The sequence below is a fragment of the Homo sapiens genome, chromosome 1, assembly GCF_000001405.40.
Source record: "Homo sapiens chromosome 1, GRCh38.p14 Primary Assembly".
Classification (NCBI taxonomy): Eukaryota; Metazoa; Chordata; class Mammalia; order Primates; family Hominidae; genus Homo; species Homo sapiens.
Genome location: NC_000001.11, coordinates 98,284,056 through 98,306,201, shown reverse-complemented (window position 1 = coordinate 98,306,201; position 22,146 = coordinate 98,284,056).

Here is a 22,146-nt window from a genome sequence, read left to right as displayed (position 1 = left end):
TAATATAAACTATTGTTTTACCTAAAAATTATTAGAGTACAAAACTCCAGAGGAGAGTGGGTGATGTGGGAATGTGTAAGAGAGCTAAATTATCATTCATCATAACAAGAAAAGCCTAGATGGATCTGAAAACAATAACTTAGTTATGGTGAGCACAAAGCCCTTTTTGGACTTAGAGATGTGAATTTTAAAAAGCCGAAGTAACTGAAGGAAGCTAAGCAGTCAACTTGATGGGGTTGGGTAATGTGTGAGCCCATACAGAATTTCAGGCAGAGTGAGGCTGGTAGTCATGCCCTGGAAGAAGAGAATTTGATATGGAGTCCAGGCAGCTGGGCAGGTTTGAGGTGAGGGTAGAGCTGCACAGAGAGGTGAAATCTTTGAGGGTTGTGTCAAGTATGTTAAAGATTTTTATTTTAATCCTAAGAGAATTTAGAGAACATCCATCAAATCAGCAGTACACAGAATGTGATCTGAAGACCCCTGAAGGTTCTTGTAGCTCTTTCAGGGGGTCCCAAAGGTCAAAACTGTTTTCAGAAGTAATACTAAAAAGCTATTTATCTTTTACCCACTTTCTCTCACAGCGTATGTTCACAGTGGAGCCTTCCAGAGGCTATGTAAACTATGATGTCATTTCTCAGATGACTATATGCATATTTGTATTTACTAACGTCATAATCTTAATGTATAGATATCTGCATTTTCAAAGATTAACTCATATCAGCACTTTTACTGCACTCTTACTAATTATTTTTTGTTATATCTGCTATAATTTTTGTAAACCCATTACCTTTCAACAAACTATTATTTTGAAACCCTGAAGTTTTCCTTGCACCTATGCAGAAACAAAGAACTAAAATTGCTTTCATGTCTTGTTTTGCATTAATATTTTTTAGTTTTGAAAACTTTTCAAAATTATTCTTTTTCAAAAATGTTACTGTCTTACAGTGAAATAATATTCTGTTCTAAAATTTAAAACACTTATTTATAATATATTTTTGTTATATTTTAGGATAGATCATTGACTTTTAAAGGGAGATTTAAAGACTTGCTTTCTTAACCCATAGCTGTGCTAGTGAGGTCTAAGGATGCTAAAAAGATGAAACTGACATATCAGAGAGTTCTCTGACTCACAGAAGAGAGGAATGTACTGCAAAGAAATGGAGCAAAACTGTAAATAAGAAATAAAACTATGACAAAAGCTATCTTTTCCTCAGCATTACTGATGTGTTTTATGCAACAGAACTTTTGGAATAATATTTGGTGCTAGTAAAGTTGTGGCACCATTTTGAGCAGAATCAATCAGAGTTTAAAGGAAAAGGAATTGAATATTTTATATGTAGGTAAGATAAACTCTTTAAAAGCCAAAAATTGCTCACTACTTTTCAGACCAGAAATGAAAAATCCACTAAAACACTTTACAGATTAAGTTATATTTTGTATTGGATGGAGACACACATACAATCGTTGAAAGACTAACAAAGCCCTGTAGAGTGGACATTGCTGAAGATCTCTGGATGAAAAGTCAGTAAAAGAGGGCTAGGTGATGTGGCCCACACCTGCAATCCCAGCATTTTGGGAGGCCGAGGCAGGCAGATCACTAGAGGTCAGGGGTTCAAGACCAGCCTAACCAATATGGTGAAACCCCATCTCTACTAAAAATACAAAAATTAGCCAGGCATGGTGTAAGGTGTCTGTAATCCCAGCTACTCAGGAGGCTGAGGCAGAAGAATTGCTTGAACCCAGGAGGCGGAGGTTGAAGTGAGCCAAGATAGAGCCACTGCACTCCAGCCTGGGCAACAGAGGGAGAATCTGTCTCAAAAAAAAAAAAAAAAGAAAGAAAGAAAGAAAAAAGAAAAGAAAAGAAAAAGAAAGTCAGTGAAAGAAATTGTGGCACTGTCACATTCCAACAGTACAGTAGTTTGTTGAAGTAAAGACTTAGGTGCAAACATGAGGACTGAGTTTATTTCTCCTCTGAGATTTGTACTTTTGCCTTATGAGCAGACCAACCCTCAGATTTGTTAGGTTATTGTTTTGCTTGTAGGCATCTAATATCAGCACCAACTAATCATTGAAGAAAATTTATTGCATTTTAATTTATACCATTTGTGAAGTGATATTTATACCATTTGTGAAATATTCAGAGTTGAATACATTTTTCTAATCTCATGGTTTGTTCTAGAAAAAGCCATGTCACTATTTACACTGTTGTGCAGAAGCAACGGAAGGAAGCACATTAGCATGAACAAATTGAGGCTGCTGCTCTGAACTGTACTAGTAGTGATTGCATTCTCCCAGGCACTTCCAAGGAGAGTGGGGAGCCAGTGTCACTTAAGAATGCCTTGGTAAAGAAGTAAAAATGGTCACTCCCATTAAATATCAACCATTAAGCTGTGGTTTTTTTTGTTTGTTTTTTGTTTTTGTTTTTTTAGCAAAGTATGATTGTTGCCTTGAGGACAAGCATTTGTGCAATTATTTGAGTTGCAAGCTGAACTAGCTGATCTTTTCACAAACTCAATTTTTACTTGAAAGAAAGATTGATGGTCACACTATGGTTATTTAGAATTGGTATGTGACATATATTTTACAAAAATGCACTGAGCCCATCATTTCAAGAAAAATACTAATTGTTATAAATGATAAAATTAGCAGTTTCAAGTGAATGTTGGAAAATGTATATCTACTACCATGAGCTTGACAACTTCCTAATATGTAATGACTTTTCATATGTATGGTAGTAATATTAATGCACATGATGATTTTGATGTTGTATAATGAAATGTATCAATGTTTGGGAGATCTATGTAACTCAGTAAGCTAGTCTTTTCCAAATGAATGCATGATATAAAATCATTCATAAGTAAAGGATCCATTCAAAATGCTAGACAGACCAATGAATTTTAATACAAGAGAGGACAAAAAGTTCATTGATGTGTTTCCAGATTCCACAATGCAACTACCTTTTAAGAAACATTTGTCAAGTTTTGGTGTAATATCAATAAAGAATACCTGAAAAGGCTATTAAAATACTCCACTATTGTCAAACTATCTTTCAGAAACTGGATTTTCTTCATATGCTTCACCTAAAACAATATATTGAAATAACAATATATTGAAATAATAAATAAAACAATATATTGAAATCTCTCTGATTCTGCATTCATATGGGAATCCAGCTATCTTCTGTCAATCTAGAGCTTAATAATATTTGCAAAATATGTAAAACAATGCTGCACTTGTCACTACCAGTTTTGGAAAATACAGTTGTTTTTCATTCAAAAAGTATTTCTAATTTGTGATGTGCTTATTGCTATTTTAAAATGAATTAATAAATAGCTTTTTAAACTTCCCAGTTTCAATTTCTAATATGGTAACTATCAATAGATACATCCACAAAAACGAAAAGGTTTTGGTGTCTCTCAATAATTTTAAGAGTATGAAGGACTCCTGAGACCAAATCATTTAGAAACTGATGCATTAAACTTTTTATACAAGGGAATCTCATGTAAGAATAAGTTTATGTGAGATAGAGTGGGATTAAGGAATACTCATTAAGAGGCCCTGGCAGTATCCCATTAAGAGATGAAAATAAATTAGGTTGTTGTTTGTGGAGACTGAGAGTAGCAGACAGATTTGAAAACTACTAAGTGATAAGTCTAACACTTGGAGAAGGACAGGATATGGACTGATAAAGGAACATGGTTGAGGAAGGCACCGTGTTGAGGAAATACTCTCAGGTTTGCGATTTTCCTAAGAGAACGGACCATCTTTCAATCTACAAAACACAGGAAGCGAACAAGAATAAGGAATGGGTCTTTGGTTCTGTTTATATGCTGGATTACATTTATTGATTTGCGTATGTTGAACCAGCCTTGCATCCCAGGGATGAAGCCCACTTGATCATGGTGGATAAGCTTTTTGATGTGCTGCTGGATTCGGTTTGCCAGTATTTTATTGAGGATTTTTGCATCAATGTTCATCAAGGATATTGGTTTAAAATTCTCTTTTTTGGTTATGTCTCTGCCAGGCTTTGGTATCAGGATGATGCTGGCCTCATAAAATGAGTTAGTGAGGATTCCCTCTTTTTCTATTGATTGGAATAGTTTCAGAAGGAATGGTACCAGTTCCTCCTTGTACCTCTGGTAGAATTCGGCTGTGAATCCATCTGGTCCCAGACTCTTTTTGGTTGGTAAGCTATTGATTATTGCCACAATTTTAGAGCCCGTTATTGGTCTATTCAGAGATTCAACTTCTTCCTGGTTTAGTCATGGGAGGATGTATGTGTTGAGGAATTTATCCATTTCTTCTAGATTTTCTAGTTTATTTGCGTAGAGGTGTTTGGGCGAAGGATATGAACAGACACTTCTCAAAAGAAAACATTTATGCAGCCAAAAAAACACATGAAAAAATGCTCATCATCACTGGCCATCAGAGAAAGGCAAATCAAAACCACAATAAGATAACATCTCACACCAGTTAGAATGGCAATCTTTAAAAAGTCAGGAAACAACAGGTGCTGGAGAGGATGTGGAGAAATAGGAACACTTTTACACTGTTAGTGGGACTGTAAACTAGTTCAACCATTGTGGAAGTCAGTGTGGCGATTCCTCAGGGATCTAGAACTAGAAATACCATTTGACCCAGCCATCCCATTACTGGGTATATACCCAAAGGATTATAAATCATGCTGCTCTAAAGACACATGCACACGTATGTTTATTGTGGCACTATTCACAATAGCAAAGACTTGGAACCAACCCAAATGTCCAACAATGATAGACTGGATTAAGAAAATGTGGCACATATACACCATGGAATGCTATGCAGCCATAAAAATGAAGAGTTCATGTCCTTTGCAGGGACATGGATGAAACTGGAAACCATCATTCTCAGCAAACTATCGCAAAGACAAAAAACCAAACACCGCATGTTCTCACTCATAGGTGGGAATTGAACAATGAGAACACATGGACACAGGAAGGGGAACATCACACTCCGGGGACTGTTGTGGGGTGGGGAGAGGGGGGAGGGGTAGCATTAGGAGATATACCTAATGCTAAATGACGAGTTAATGGGTGCAGCACACCAACATGACACATGTATACATATGTAACTAACCTGCACATTGTGCACATGTACCCTAAAACTTAAAGTTAATAATAATTAAAAAAAGAGAAAAAAAAATAAGGAATGGGAGAGAGATTTTAATTTTTGTTATATTTCATTTGAATTTCCCCTGTTTAGCTATCTAAATTGTATACACTTTCCCCCATAATGGATATCAAACCAAAATTTACTTGGAAAGGGCCTTGAGTTAACAGATACAGCAATGCAACTTGCAATTCTGAAGATTTGTTTATAAAAGATAAAACATTTTGAGTGCCGAGGCTAGTAAGTGGTAAAAATTGCTAGTTGGACTTGTTAGCCATAAAACATTTTCTCATTAATTATGTAGTTCTTACATTTTTTCAATGAACTTTCCCCCACAACTGCTGAGAGTGTGCTCTTTTGACATTCTGACCATGAGATACAATGTGGGTGGGATAATCATTGTGTTATCTTTAGTAATGTATTCTGTTATCCTGACAAATTAAATGAATAGCTGACAAATTCACACTGCTGGTAACTTTCCTTTTGCAAATTATATAAAATATTTCAAAATACAATTATGATACACTACTGATAGGTTATTATGGTCAGCAGCATCACTTAGCACCAGATAAATAGCAAGGGATTGTCACAAAACATTGATGAGATTTGAAACTGTAGTTTTTCTTAAACAAGTTCAAAATTAATATCAAATAATCCTTTGTCTATCCTGAGGACAACACCACAACTTCGTATTTATCTTATGTGGCTGCATTAGCTTACTGACTCTGAAAATTGTAAGCTAAACATTAAAACTACCAACCTTAGTGAGAAACAAAAAGGGACACTATGCAGGAATTAACAAATAGCCTGCTTAGTGCATGCCAGACATTCATGGTGGGCATTTATATGTGAGAAGAATGAAAAAATAAATGACAAATGCATTCCCCCTTAATTTCCAGGGACTGCTATCCCTGTCGAAACCCCCTGTGTGGATGTGTTTGTACACACACATGAGTTATATGCAGGAACCTTTTTCATTAAGGGTGCGGTGTTTTTCATGCTAGTGCAGCACCTATCTATCTTCTTTCTGGCAGGGCTGTCTGCTTTTCAGTCAGCATCTGACTAAAGATCAATGAGAGAAAGCTTTTTGAAGGTGCTTTCAGGTCCTGCGGCAAGGGAGATGATCAGAAAGCTGCCATAAGCTTCAGACCCACTTGACAAATTAGGAACTATTTTGGTGCTCTATAAACTGCTGTCACATCAGTTACAAACACTAATTAGAGATACAATACTTTGATAGTTAAAGTGTCCAGTGCATTAAATACCACTTTTGCTTACTGCAATTAGCTTATACATTGACTTACACTTCAGACTATAAGACAGTCAGATTAAAATGCATTGACCATTATTAAAAAATTTATAAGGTAAATATGAGCTAACCATCAAATAGCTTTTTCCTGTTGCCCTTTGACCCTTCCAGATCTTATTTTTCAATGCTTTTGCACACAATTTTTTTCAACCAGCTTTCATTTGTCTGGGCTAAATGTCATACCTTATGATGGCCAATCATCCAACATCAATTAATCAAATTCTGCATCCTGAGAATGAGGTGTGGAAAGAATACTGCCTCTGGTTTTTATAAAGCAATTAGCCATTGAGCCATTATGGGATCCAGCAGTCCCAAACACAGAGAATTTTATGCTTTTTCAGTGCTGTCCCAGTGATAGGGCATTATTGATGAATTGGCATTTAAAAATCCATCCTGTTGATTTTTGAAAAACTAAAGTTTTTATAATGACATTTCCATCTTGGTAGCAGGATACGTCTGCATTTGAAAAAAAATATCTTTTGCAATAACTGACAGAAGTGGTGTGTTTTTAACACAAGAAAACAGTGGGAAAAAATGTCAGGATTTTGGTGCTGATTATCTCTAGAGTTCCAAGAATACTTTTTTTTTTTTTAACTTTGTGTGTGTGTGAGTGTGTCTGTGTGTATTTATGTTGGGAGGATATATCTGAAAACTTTTCTAAGATGAAAAAGTGTGTGAAATATAAAAATCAACTTATTTATTATGCATCTTTGAGATGGCATATGAAGCATTATTTAATGTATACTCTGGCTTCCGAAACAAACAAACAAATCACTTTTTCCTTCCCTTACCTACCCAATGCAGCTTCTAGTGCAGTATTTTTCAGGGAATTGCTCCAATAATGTTTGTTCAAGAATAGAAGGCTATGAAATAATAATTTATGCATGAGTATGAAATAGAGGTAACACAAATTCACTCAAAAATAAAAAAGTGAGTCAAATTAATAGGTGTTTTTAAAAAACAAATCTTACAATAATAGATTAGATGGATAGAGCTCAAACTATTTTCCAACTATCTTGTGTGTGTACCCACACCTCACAAAGAGGAAACTAACTCATCCATTTTAAGTGCCTAAAAATCAAACATTACTTAATTTCATGGAAACAAGCTCTGGGATCCAAATCTCTCTGTTCTCTTCCCACTTCAATTTATAGCAGGGAGGCAGCATATGGTGGAGGACAGCCGAAGGCCTGCAAGTCACCTCTGCAGAGGTGGTTTCAGTGGCAACCCATTGAAACTCAGTCTAGAAAATGGATGTAATAATACTCATCACTTCTCTATTTCAAAGAGGGCTGGGAGGATTAAAGAGCTAGCGTTCCAAATTCAAATTCACATTTTCCTCTAAACCTCAGCAGAATTCTTTGTCATCCCAACAGAGCTGATCTGAGTGAGAAGTGCCATTAAGGAAATAGTAGCACACTCAGAAGAGCTCCAGGGGGATTCAGAAGAGCTCTGGCAGAAGTTCCGGGCTAGATGTAAACTCAGCCCAGTGCTCATGAAGCACGTTGAAATTCTCAAGTGATAGGCACTACATGGGAACAAATCATTCTTAATTTAAGAGATAAATATGCCATATCCAGAACTAATAATGAAGGGGCAGGAATAAATATAAAACTGTAATGATTATGATCATTTATCCCTAAATCTCATGTAGTCTCTCAGTGACATCTGTGAATATTAAGACAATTGTTGTCTGCCCTGCATTATGTACAATGCTGGCAATGTTCAAGGTTTCTGGTGTTCCTCTCACTGTTCCTAAAACAATAGCAGACTAAGAAGATTGATCAGCCTCCAATAGCCCAACCCTCTTTCAGCCCCTACAGAAACATGCTAGTCACTGCCTTAGCAGTTAGGAAAACATCCTGTGATTTCCAACCTGTGTACCTGCTCCGTATATGTTTCCTTAGCTATATATTCAAAGGCAAATTGTGTACACAGGATCGGGTCACCGGAGTTTAATGTCAGAGATCACACTATCTGCACCTTTGAGAATAATGAAATCTGCAACAAAGGAATAATTCTAATCTACTTTTTAACAATTTTGCCATGTAATATTTTTTAGCAAAATGTTATTTTTTCCTAATATTAGTTTTTGTTTCAAAAGACACTTGCTGTAAAAGATTATTTATTCAACATATTAAGGTTGAAATTATAAAATATTTTAAAGAACAGAATAATCTCTACCTATAAGTTGGATTTGCATTATGAATCTTGTAATCTTATGAATGCATTATGAAACTTGCATTATGAATCTTGTAATCTTATAAGATTCATAATGCAAATCCAACTTATAGGTCTAAGATTAGTACTCTACTAATTGGAACAATGTGGAAGTATATATGGGATGTGACCACAAAGCAATGTTAGTGGTTCAGATTTGTATCAGTCCACTAGCCAACAGTATGGATATAGTCCACCTACCACTTTTGAACCCATCCATTCTCTACTACTATTTCATTGTTATCCTTCCTTCTTTCTCACATGCTTTGAGCAGTGACTTGCTAAAATCCAAACACACTATGTCTATAGAATTTTTCTATCTACAAATTTAGTCACCCTAACCAACAGTAATTTGTTGAATCTCATTTGGGTTGTTTTCAGTGGTGTAGTTAAGGCATGCTGTTTCTCAGTTAACTGCTTGCTGAAAATTTGTTTGTTTGTTTCTTTATTCTGGAATCTGCTAGCCATTGATAAAATGGGCTTAGGTCTGACGGTGTGAATGGGCTTCATCTTTTTTATGCAATGTTTCACCATTAACATAATACATTCCTATATGTTGTAAATGAAATTCATTGAATTTGAGTCATATAATGTGTACACACAGGAGATTATTAATTGTGATGTAATCTGAGGATGTTATGTTTCTAAGGTGAAAACAGGGTTTAGATGGCTTCAGTGTCTACCTTTTACTGGTTATCACACACTCTTACCATGAATGAGTGGGAAGAGAATAGCTTCAAAGCCACAGGTCAGTTGAACTTGCCTCTTACTACCTGAATGACTTTAAGCTGTTACTTAAATATTATGAGTATTCCTTTCTTACTTTTGTTCAAATACAAATATAGTGTATATCTTGAAGGACTTGAGATATCGATATCTATATCTATATATCAGTGTTTTATATATATATATATATATATATATATATATATATATCTCGTATGAAGTCCTTCAAGATACACATTATATCTCTATTTGAAAAAAATACACACACACACACACAAACACATACCTCTTATATATCAAAAATATAACAAATGGCAGTTTACTTCTACTTCATTCTTTCCAAAGTTTCTTTCAGTCCAGTTTCAATAAATAGTTCCTCATTGTTTACAAATGATTAAGCTTTTGGTTTGTTGTTTGTTCTGAGACAGGGTCTCACTCTGTCACCCTCACACCTCACTGCATCTTTGACCTCCAGGCTCAAGCAATTCTCCCACCTTAGCTCCCGAGTAGCTGGGACTATAGGTGTGCACCACCACACCTGCTAATTTTTTTTTTTTTTTTAGAAATAGGGTCTCACTATGTTGCCTAGGGTAGTCTTGAACTCCTGCACTCAAGCAATCCTCCTGCCTTGGCCTCCCAACGTGCTGGGATTGCAGGCATGAGCCACCGCACCTGGCCTAGGATTAAGTTTTGACTAGGATTTCCATCTATCATTCACATATTCTCACTTATAAATGGGAGCTAAGTTCTGGATACACAAAAGCATAGAGTGGTGTAATGGACATTGAAGACTCAGAAGTGAGCAGAATGGTGGGGAGTAAGGGATGAAAAACTACCTTTTGTGTACAGTGTGCAGTACTCCAGTGATGGGTGCACTAAAATGCCAGACTTCTCCACTCTACAATTCATCCATGTACCCAAAAACCACTTGTACCCCTAAAGCTACTGAAATAAAAAAAATTAAAGATATGCGTAAAATTGACAAGGTTCATCAAGTGTTTATTAAATTGTTTTGATTTAAAAAATTACCTCAGAGTCAACAGACTTTTCTATCAAATTTGACTCATTACTTTTCTATTGTTTTCTAAAAAGCAAAGTTTCGGGGTTTGGATGAGTTTCACTCATGAGTACCATAAATCTCCAGATAACAATGACATTAAGAAGAGATCATTGTATTTCTTTTTGATCAAAAGTTAGAGTTTATGTCAAGCTATTCTGTGGCTCTGAGATTCATACCTCTTTCAGCTTCCCATTCTGTGGCCCTAGGATTCATGTCTCAGAATGGACTCCCGTTGTCACATCCATGTTCCAAGCACTAGATGGAGGGCCAAGAAGAGGCAAGTATGCATGCAAGTGTTTGCTTTCATTTCATCAAATACTTATTATGTACCTCCTATGTGTCAAACCTGATTTTAACCTCTGATGATATAGCAGTAAGGGAAGCAGATAAAAATATCTGCCCTCCTGAAACTTCTGTTATAGAATTACCCTACATAAAGAAAATTCCCAGAAGCTTCCACCTGAGATTTCCCCAGCTAAGATTCTATAGAAAATAAAGAGAGATAAAATATAGAGGAAAATCTTACAAAACTCATCATAAAATTTATAAATGAATATTTTCACCTGTGAAGATATTTTTTAAAATTGTGCTTAAAAAATGAGTATTGCTAGAATTCATAATGGAACCATCCACCCAAAATTAATACTCAAGATTAATTTACACAAATAAATCCTGGTAGGTTTCTTTTAAAATTCAGAATATTTAATAATGCATATATACTTTTCAGAACAAATAAAATTAATCAAAAGTAAAAAGAAGGCCGGGCGCGGTGGCTCACGCCTGTAATCCCAGCACTTTGGGAGGCCGAGGCGGGCGGATCACGAGGTCAGGAGATCGAGACCATCCTGGCTAACACGGTGAAACCCGTCTCTACTAAAAATACAAAAAATTAGCCGGGCGTGGTAGCGGGCGCCTGTAGTCCCAGCTACTCGGGAGGCTGAGGCAGGAGAATGGCGTGAACCCGGGAGGCGGAGCTTGCAGTGAGCCGAGATCGCGCCACTGCACTCCAGCCTGGGCGACAGAGCGAGACTCCGTCTCAAAAAAAAAAAAAAAAAAAAAAAAGTAAAAAGAAAACAGAACAGAAAAAAATCACTCCAACTCAACTGGAAATTTAAAGTGGCGAAGTATTTATTTAATATGTAATGATTTTTATTATAAAATTTTTCAGTCTAAAATGATGTCTTCTGCACATGACCACAGCAATCACAAGGCAATATCATACATCTAAAAACCACTCCCACCAAAACACCAAATACGCCTGGCCTGCACAGATGGAAAAATCTGAATGGATATCACAAGTCCTCAAGGCTTCATTTATTATTACTTTTTCTTATTATTCTTTCTTTTTTCATTGACAAAAACTGTACAAATATGTGTGTACAATATGATGTTTTGAAATATATACATTGTGCAATAGTTAAATGATCTAATTAACTTATGCATTACCTCACATATTTATCTGTAGTGTAAACACTTAAAATCTATTCTCAGCAATTTTCAAGTACACAATACATTGATATGAAGTATAGTCACCTTGCTGTACAATAGATATTTTGAATTCATTCCTTCGGTCTAACTGAAATTTTGTATCCTTTGACTAACATCCTGTTTGTATCCTTTGAGCTGTATCTCTGTTTAGTTGAACATTAAGAGAATAAAGATAGATGGTAGCCTGCTAACAAAGGAGAACACACTAAATTACAAATAAAAATGTAAAATAATCCAAAAATTATTACAATATGGGTTTTAAAGTAAATGGAGTTCAACAGTAAATACAGCTTCTCCATGCATTAGATAACTTTCTAACAGTTATTTCTGAAGTGATGTATTGTATCTAATATCCAGTTCTTAAAAATGCTTCCAATGCCAGATTTTTTCTCTTCTTTTATCCCTTCCTTTCTTCCTCTCTTTTTCCATTCCCCCTTTTTCTCTTCTCTCTCCTCTCTCTCATTCTTTCTCTCTCTCCAAACTTTCAATATAAATTCAAACCATCTGTCAAATATAAAGCTTTCAGCAGATTCAAGTCCGAGATAGATTCTCACTTCACACATTCTGTGTAGTGTAGAGACTGTCTTTGGTAATTTACCTAACCACCGTTGGTATAGCTTTCACCAGAATGGAATACTTACATAAGGAGACTCCAAAAACCAGTAAATAAACTTAGTTCCTTCTTTTTTGAATCATAATTCAAATTTTAAAAACTAACAGCCTGCCTCTACTATTCACTGGTATGGTGTGGCTGAGAAAGTACTGGACAAGCAGTCAGAGGATTATTTCCACTGTAGAGAACCTTCTATGTAGTTATATCATCTTAGGGATATTGCTTAACCTCCCTGAACCCCAGTTTCTGCATCTTCAAAATGCAGAAATTGACTTACTCTACAATTCTATTATTATAATTCAATATCCTACTTGGGAATATATTCTTTAATAAGAAACAATTTATACATGTGTGTATGTGAGAGAGAAGGTGTCCTAGTCATGGTGCTGGATGCTGTTACATAGAGAGTGGCCAGGCTCTCCAAACTGTCTATCACAGTTCAGTGTCTGTGGGACTATTTTAGCAATGAATCAACTAATCAAACAAAGTCAAGTGTGCCTTATTATACAGAAAATCAGCAATGACACATTAATAAACCAGGAAACTGCCAGTAGCAGGAGGTAGATAATTCTCTGTATAAAATTTTCATGTATTCTTTCTGTTTTAAAAATATTAGACATTTAATGCTATATTTGGAGTAATCATCTCTGCTGGTTTTCTATTGCAAAAGGAATAAGACCTTTATTATAATCAAAGTGTAGTCTATAAAAGAAACACTTTTTTTAGGTAAGCTCAATGATTTTTCAGTCCAGGAAATTCCATTTTATAGATCTGTTGGAATTTTTTTCTTCTATTCTTTTTTAAACACAGTAAGCCTAAGAGAATTCATTTTTGTTTCACAATTTAATGTTTATGTCTGTGTTCCTCAGAGTGCCTTGCATAGTGCATAGTGTATAATATATTATTAATATTAATAAAAAGTTTCTAAAATAGTGATTTTCCCAAACCGTTAATGTTTTCCTTAAATATTTGATGGAATTTTTTGTACCTGACAATCAAAGAAGTTAGTGAGTACGGTCATCAACAAGTCAAGTATTTTTCCCCAAACTGATGCACTTAAACTGTTTTAACACTGAGAAAACTCACCTGTAATAATATCTGGTTTCTTAAAGAAAAAAGAAAACAGTCATATTTTAGGTTGAAATGTGGGTGGTGAGCAAAGTACGCTGATTGCCATATCTTAAAAATCAAAATCAGATAATCTGAATTAATATCATAAAATCTAACTTATTCATGCTGGATCAAAATTTTTCAATAAACTATGAATTTAACATTAATTTCTCAGAAAAATAATAATATATATTTCTGGCCAATAGCTGACATCACATATTTAAGTTAGTAATACAAGAAGGATGCCCACTATTACTACAAATATTTGCTATTAGTCTAAAATCTCTCAACAAGGCATAATAAAAGTATGAGGGGACTTCAAAAAGTTCATGGAAAAATTAAAACAAAAGATAGAAATAAAAATATAAATTTTATTTCTCAACATAAGTTCCAAGTTCAAGACACTTTTGTTAGTGATGATACCAGCCATTTAATCCATCCATAAAGAATTGAGGGTCCTGGGGATTTAATCATGTCAAGGCAGTTTTTTTGTTTTTTGTTTTTTTATTTTTACATTATTAACTGAAGAAAAATGGGTGTCCTTTACAGAGTTTTTAAGATTAGCAAAAAAAAAAAAAAAAAAAAAAAAGTCACAAGGAGTCAAATCAGGACTGTAAGGTAGATGCCTAAAGATTTCCCATCGAAACTCTCACAAAATTGTCCTTGTGAATAAGCAGGAGCACTGTCATGGTGGAGAAGGACTCTGGTGAAGCTTTCCTGGGTGTTTTCTGTTAAAGCTTTTGCTAACATTCTCAAAACACTCTCATTTAAACAGATGCTATTGTTCTTTGGCTCTCCAGAAAGTCAACATCCAAAATGCTTTTAGCGCCCTAAAAACCTGTTGCCATGACCTTTGCTCTGGATGGTCTCCTTTTGCTTTTTGACTGGACCACCTCCACCTCTTGGTAGCCATTGCTTTGATTGTGCCTTGTCCTCAGGATCATAGTGGTAAAACTATGTTTCACCTCCTGTCATAATTCTTCGAAGAAATGCTTCAGGATCTTATCCCACTTGTTTAAAGTTTCCATTGAAAGCTCTGCTCTTGTCTGCAGCTGATCTGAGCACAACCATTTTGATATCCACTGAGTGGAAAGCTTGCTTAACTTTAATTTTTAAGTCAGAATAGTGTAAACTGAACCATTTAAGATGTCTATGGTGTTGGGGATTGTTTTTGCTGTTAGTCATCAGTCCTCTTCAATTAGGGCATGAAAAAAATGAATTTTTTCTTGCAAATTAATGTGGATGGTCTATTGTTGTGGGTTTCATCTTCAATGTCATTAGTCCTTTCTTAAAACAAGTTATCCATTTATAAATTACTAATTTCTTTGGGGCATTTTCTCCATAAGCTTTCTGTAAAGCATCACCATTTCACCATCTTTTTACCAAAACTTCACCATAAATTTGATGTTTTTTCTTTCTTCAATTTTAGCAGAATTCATGTTGCTCTGATAGAGGTTCTTTTCAAACTGGTATCTTGCCCTTCTTAGGGCCTCAAACTAGTTTGAAATCTATGCATAGTTTTTCATAATATGCATTTTCCATGAACTTTTTGAAGACCCCTGGTATAGCTGAAGTGAAATAATAGAAAATAATTTGCCTTTCTCTGATGATTAGTGATGATGAGCATGTTTTCATGTGTTGGCTGCTTGTATGCCTTCTTTTCAGAAGTGTCTGTTCATGTACTTTGCTTGCTTTTGAATGGGATTGTTTGTTTACTGCTTGTTGATTTGTTTAAGTACCTTGGACATTCTGGACTTAGACCTTTGTCATACGCATAGTTTGTTAATATTTTCTCCCATTCTGGAGGTTGTCTGTTTACTCTATTGATAATTTATTTTGCTATGCAGAAGCTCTTTAGTGCCATCTCACACCAGTCAGGATAGCTATTATTAAAAAGTCAAAAAACCAACAACGACAAATGTTAGCAAGGTTATGGCAAAAAGAGAATGCTTATACACTGTTGGGGAGATGTAAATAAGTTCAGCCACTCTGGAAAGCAATTTGGAGATTTCTCAAAGAACTGAAAATAGAACTACCATTCAACCCAGCAATCCCATTACTGGGTATATTCCCCAAGGAAAATAAATTTTTCTACCAAAGAGATGCATGCACCTATATATTCATTGCAGCACTATTCAAAATAGCTAAGACAGGGAGGGAATCAACTCAGGAGCCCATCAATGGTGGACTAGATAAAGAAAATATACATTTATACCATGGAATACTACCCAGCCATGACTATGAAGTCATGTCCTTTGTAGCAACATGGATGAAGCTGGAAGCCATTATCCTAAGCAAACTAAAACAGGAACAGAAAACTAAATGTCACATGTTCTCACTTATAAGTGGGAGCTAAACACTGGGTACACATTAACCTAAAGATGGGAACAATAGACCCTGGGGTCTGTAAGACAGGGGAGGATGAGAAGGAGGAAAGGGTTGAAAACCTACCTATTTGGTACTATGCTCACTACCTGGGTGACAGGTCCAATCATACCCCAAACTTTAGCATCATGCAATATACCTTTATAACAAACCTGCACACATATACCCTGACTCTAAAATACACATTAAAAAAGAAAAAAACAATAATACAAAATAATAAAATAAAACCACTCTACAGGTATTTTCAAAAGATATTAAAGCCAAGCTAGAAAAACCAAGTGTGTGAGGATGTTATGCAATGTCCAGATACAGAGTAAATATGCAAAACAATAGCTTTCTTTTATGCTACAAATAATCATAAAAATATAACTAAATAGTAACAGAAAAACAAAAAGAAATAGTTAACAAAAATGTTAAGATATAGGAAATTTAGAAATTTTTTAGAGCTAATGAGAAAAATATTATGAGTCTCAAAAGTAAAACTTAAATAAATGCGAAATGTAATATGTTACTAAATGGAAAATTTAGTTACTTATGGAAAAATGCCAGTTCTTTCTCAAATTAACTTACAGAGTCAGTGCAATTCCAGTCACAATTTTAATGTTTTATTTGGAACCTAACAAAAATGATTTTAGAGTTCATCAGTAAGAAAAATGTTTGAGACTAGCCAAGACAAAAAATATTAAACATATGCATAGTTGGGAGCTGAAGGAGAGGACAGGAAGAAAGCTATTACCAGATATTGAGACATAGAATATGAAATCTTAAAAATAAAAGCTAGCATATGAGATAATATAAAATTAGTGTATGAGAAAAGTTCATTTCTAGTCAGTGAGAATGAAAGGATCATTTAGAATATGATTCAGAGATATTGAATAATTATTGAAATTCAATATAAAATAGGAATTTAGAGATACCTAGCACATAAGTGAGAGTAAACTTAATTCTAGTTAATGTATTAAGTTGAAGGTAAAAAAAAAAGAACTAGAATAAAATAAACTTCAATGCTTATTGATTCCTGGAGATGAAAAGAATTTCATAAGTATAAAAGTAAGTGTAGAACTAATAAAAATGCAAATGATAGATTTAATGAAAAAGTTAAAACTTCTCAATGTTTAAAAGTACTGAAAACAAAATTAGGCAAGTTGAGAAAAGTATTTATAATATTTTTGACACATGACAATTTAATACAGAGTGCTTACAAATACATATTTTAAGTTAATTGCTATAAATTTTTATGTATTTCATATTTTTTCAATTTATAGGAAAATATAGATAACAGATTTCCTGTGTTTACAGGAAATATAGACCCATGTACTTATCACTCATTTTTTAAAATGTTACCATTTTTCTCATATTTGTTTCCGATTTCTTTATTGTTGACAGTATAGGGGGCTGGGGGAAGCATTAGAGCTTCAAGTGAAACTCCAATTCACACAGCCCTTATCACTTCCTCTTCTTCAGAGGCAGCCATTACCATGGTTAGTATGCATGCCATCATTCCAATAAATGTTTTTATGCTTGTCTCAGTTTGTATACATATCCAAAACTGTTTCAATAATGTAAATGTTAAGACAACGTATACAATAATTGTAACTTTCTTCTTTCCAATAATGCTTATGTTTTGGAGTTATTCATATCCACACATGTAGATACAATTTATTCATTTGAATTTTTGCCCAATAATCTATTGTACTAAAAAAATAGGTTACCCCAGTACCCTACTAAGGAACAGTGAACTTAACTGTTCACTTTTTTTGCCGTTACCTACAGAGCTGCCATGAATAATACTGGTCAATCCTCCCTCTGTGCAGAAGTAAAATTAGTGGCACAGTTGGTGTATAATGTCAGCTTTAATAGGTACTGACACCTAAAATCGGTCTTCTAACATAGTTATAAAAACTTCTACCCTCACCAGCAATGCACAAGTTCCTACTTCTGTGCATTTATGTCAATTCTTAGCAATTAATTCAACTTTATTGCATCAGTGTCTTAGAACACGACCTACATGATATGCTTTTTTTCTTTTCATTTACAAATACTTGCTTTGGGCCTATAAGGTGGTCAATTGTTCTGTCCTCATTTCCTGCAAATTTAAATAGACTAAACATTCTATAATTGTTCCAAGGATGTTCATATATGTCCAGTTAGATTCGGTTTGTTATGCAAGTTTTGTTCAGACATCGCTTTGTGTGCACTTCATTTGTCAATATTTGAGAGAGGTGGGTTAAAATATCTGACTGGGTATTTTCAATTCCTCCTTGTGATTATGTCAGTTTTGATTTTCTATATTTAAGGCTGTATTGTGAGCTGTCTATGAGCTCAGTACTATTGCATCTTTCTGATGAATCAATCTATTTCTCAATGACCTACTTCTTTATTCCTATTAAAGAATTCTGCCTTAAATTTTTGTTTTGTTTATGTAACCACACCTGCTTCATTTTAGTCAATACTTGCCTTGTACATTTTTTCTGATCCTTTTACTTTCATTTCAGTCCTTCCAGTCATTATTTTTTAAATTGCATCTTCTGTTAATCACATAGACCTGGGTATAAACATATAGGTATGCAGTCTGACAGTGTTTAGTTTTAGCTAGCAAGTTTCTTTTAAGTTTATAATAATGTGATTGCTGATATTCAGATACATGCCTATCATAATATGTGATGATTAATCACAATGTCCTTTCTGTGCTTCTTTTTCATTTCTTTTCCTTTAATTTCTTGGCTCAATGACATTTTTCTAATCCCTTTTTCAAGTTTTACTGGTATGAAAGTTCTGAATATCACTTCTATTTTTTTCAGTTATTACTCTTAAATGTTTAACACATATATTTGAAATAGCTAAAGTTAATGCTTTTTGCACCTTCTTAAAATCCAAATCTTCTTCATTCCCATTTTTCATTATTGTCTATAAATTAGGCGTACTTTGTTTTTAACCACTCAAATTGGTTATTATTAATATTGATTTTATAGTTAATACAAATTTAGATTTATCTATATACTTGTCAGTTCTTCACTCAACATTGCCTCTTGACTATTATTCCTTCCTTCTTGGTTCAACTTCTTTCTTAATGAAGAACATACTTTATAATTCTAGTAGGTCCTGCAAGTGGCACTTTGTTTCTGTTTGCCAAAAACATCATTTGGAATTCATTCTTGAAGGATAGTTTATATAGTTTTAGGCATCTATGCTAATGGCTTTTTTCTACTCTAGCACTTTGAAGTATTAGGCTGGTGCAAAAGTAATTTCAGTTTTGCTATCACTTTCAATGGCAAAAACTGCAATCACTTTTGCACCAACCTCTAACTGTACTATTTTTCAGCTTCTATGGTTGAGGTTGAAAGTCTGTTTATATTTGCATTTCTCTGACGACCAGTGATGATGACCATTTTTTCATGTCTGTTGGATGCATAAATGTCTTCTTTTAAGAAGTGTCTGTTCATATCCTTTGCCCACTTTTTGATGGGTTTTTTTTCTTGTAAATTTGTTGAAATTCTTTGTAGATTCTGGATATTAGCCCTTTGTCAGATGGGTAGATTGCAAAGATTTTCTCCCATTCTGCAGGTTGCCTGTTCACTCTGACGATAGTTTCTTTTGCTGTGCAGAAGCTCTTTAGTTTACTTCGATCCCGTTTGTCTATTTTGGTTTTTGTTGCCATTGCTTTTGGTGTTTGAGTCATGAAGTCTTTGCCCATGCCTATGTCCTGAAGGGTATTGCCTAGGTTTTCTTCTAGGGTTTTTATGCTGTTAGGTCTTACATTTAAATCTTTAATCCAGCTTGAGTTAATTTTTATATACGGGGTAAGGAAGGGATCCAGTTTCAGCTTTCTACATATGGCTAGCCAGTTTTCCCAGCACCATTTATTAAATAGGGAATCCTTTCCCCATTGCTTGTTTTTGTCAGGTTTGTCAAAGATCAGATGGTTGCAGATGTGTGCTGTTATTTCTGAGGCCTCTGTTCTGTCCCATTGGTCTATATATCTGTTTTTCTACCAGTATCATGCGTTTTGGTTACTGTAGCCTTGTAGTATAGTTTGAAGTCAGGTAGCGTGATGCCTCCAGTTTTGTTCTTTTTGCTTAGGATTGTCTTGGCTATGCAGGCTCTTTTTTGGTTCCACATGAACTTTAAAGCAGTTTTTTTTTTTTTCAATTCTGTGAAGAAAGTCAGTGGTAGCTTGATGGGGATAGCACTGAATCTGTAAATTACGTTGGGCAGTATGGCCGTTTTCCCAATATTGATTCTTCCTATCCATGAGCATGGAATGTTCTTCCATTTGTGTGTGTCCTCTTTTATTTTGTTGAGCAGTGACTTGTAATTCTCCTTGAAGAAGTCTTTCGCATCTCTTGTTGGATTCCTAGGTATTTTATTCTCTTTGTAGTAATTGTGAGTGGGAGTTCACTCATGATTTGGCTCTCTGTTTGTCTATTATTGGTGTATAGGAATGCTTGTGATTTTTGCATATTGATATTGTATCCTGAGACTGCTGAAGTTGCTTATCAACTTAAGGAGATTTTTGACTGAGATGATGGGGTTTTCTAAATATACAATCATGTCATCTGCAAACAGAGACAGTTTGACTTCCTCTTTTCCTAATTGAATACCCTTTATTTCTTTCTCTTGCCTGATTGCCCTAGCCAAAAACCACGATGAGATACCATCTCATGCCAGCTAGGATGGTAATCATTAAACAGTCAGGAAACAACAGATGCTGGAGAGGATGTGGCGAAATAGGAATGCTTTTACACTGTTCTTGGGAGTGTAAATTAGTTCAACCATTGTGAAAGACAATGTGGCAATTCCTCAAGGATCTAGAACTAGAAATACCATTTGACCCAGCCATCCTATTACTGGGTATATACCCAAAGGATTATAAATCATGCTGCTATAAAGACACATGCACATGTATGTTTATTATGGCACTAATCACAATAGCTAGGACTTGGAACCAACCCAAATGTCCATCAATGATAGACTGGATTAAGAATATGTGGCACATATACACCATGGAATACTATGCAGCCATAAAAAATGATGAGTTCATGTCCTTTGCAGGGACATGGATGAAGCTGGAAATGATCATTCTAAGCAAACTATCACATGGACAGAAAACCAAACACCGCATGTTCTCACTCATAGGTGGGAGTTAAACAATGAAAACACATGGACACAGGGCAGTGAACATCACACACTGGGGCCTGTCCGGGGCTGGGGGGCTGGGGGAGTGATAGCATTAGGAGAAATACCTAATGTAAATGACGAGTTGATGGGTGCAGCAAACCAACGTGGCACATGTATACCTATGTAACAAACCTGCATGTTGTGCACATGTACCCTAGAACTTAAAGTATAACAAAAAAAAAAGTCTGGTTTTAGTCTAATTATTGGTCCTTTGTAATGAATTTGCATTTTTTTGATTGTTAAAATTTCTCTTTTTCTTTGATGTTATTCCTAGAATTATTACTATTATTATTCCTGGAAATTGCATAGCTTAGGATTGGAGATATATGACTTTTATTAATTCTCAAAAATTCTGAGCCATTCTTTTTACTTCTTCCTGGAATTCTTATTAACCCAAATTGAACGCACTCCCTATCTCTGTCTTTCTGTACTGTATTATAGTTTTTTCCCACAACAGATTTCTCATCTAGCTCACTTACGCTCTCACTCTTTAGTGATCTCCAATCTGCTGTTTAGATTGTCCATTTTTTTAATGATGATTTGTTTCTTTTTAAGTATTTAGACTGTGTATTTTGTACCTTTTCAAAACTGAATTTGTTTTTGTTTTTAAACCAATCTCCTGTCCTCTTCTTTTGTTTTCTATAACTTATTTCATCACATCAATAGTTTTAAATATCTCACTTTACAATCCCTGTAATAGTATTATTCTATTACCTCATGTTTTGTAGGTGTTATTTCTCTTGTTTTCCTAAGTCTTATTCACGGTGGATTGTTTCATTTAGCGTTTTGTCATTTTTTATATTATCTTATCTTATGCAAAGCATGCCGTTATTATGGAAATTCTGTGCATCTTGGTTTTTGAAGTGTCTCCCCAGAAAGCTTTGCATTTGATTCCAACAGACACCAGAG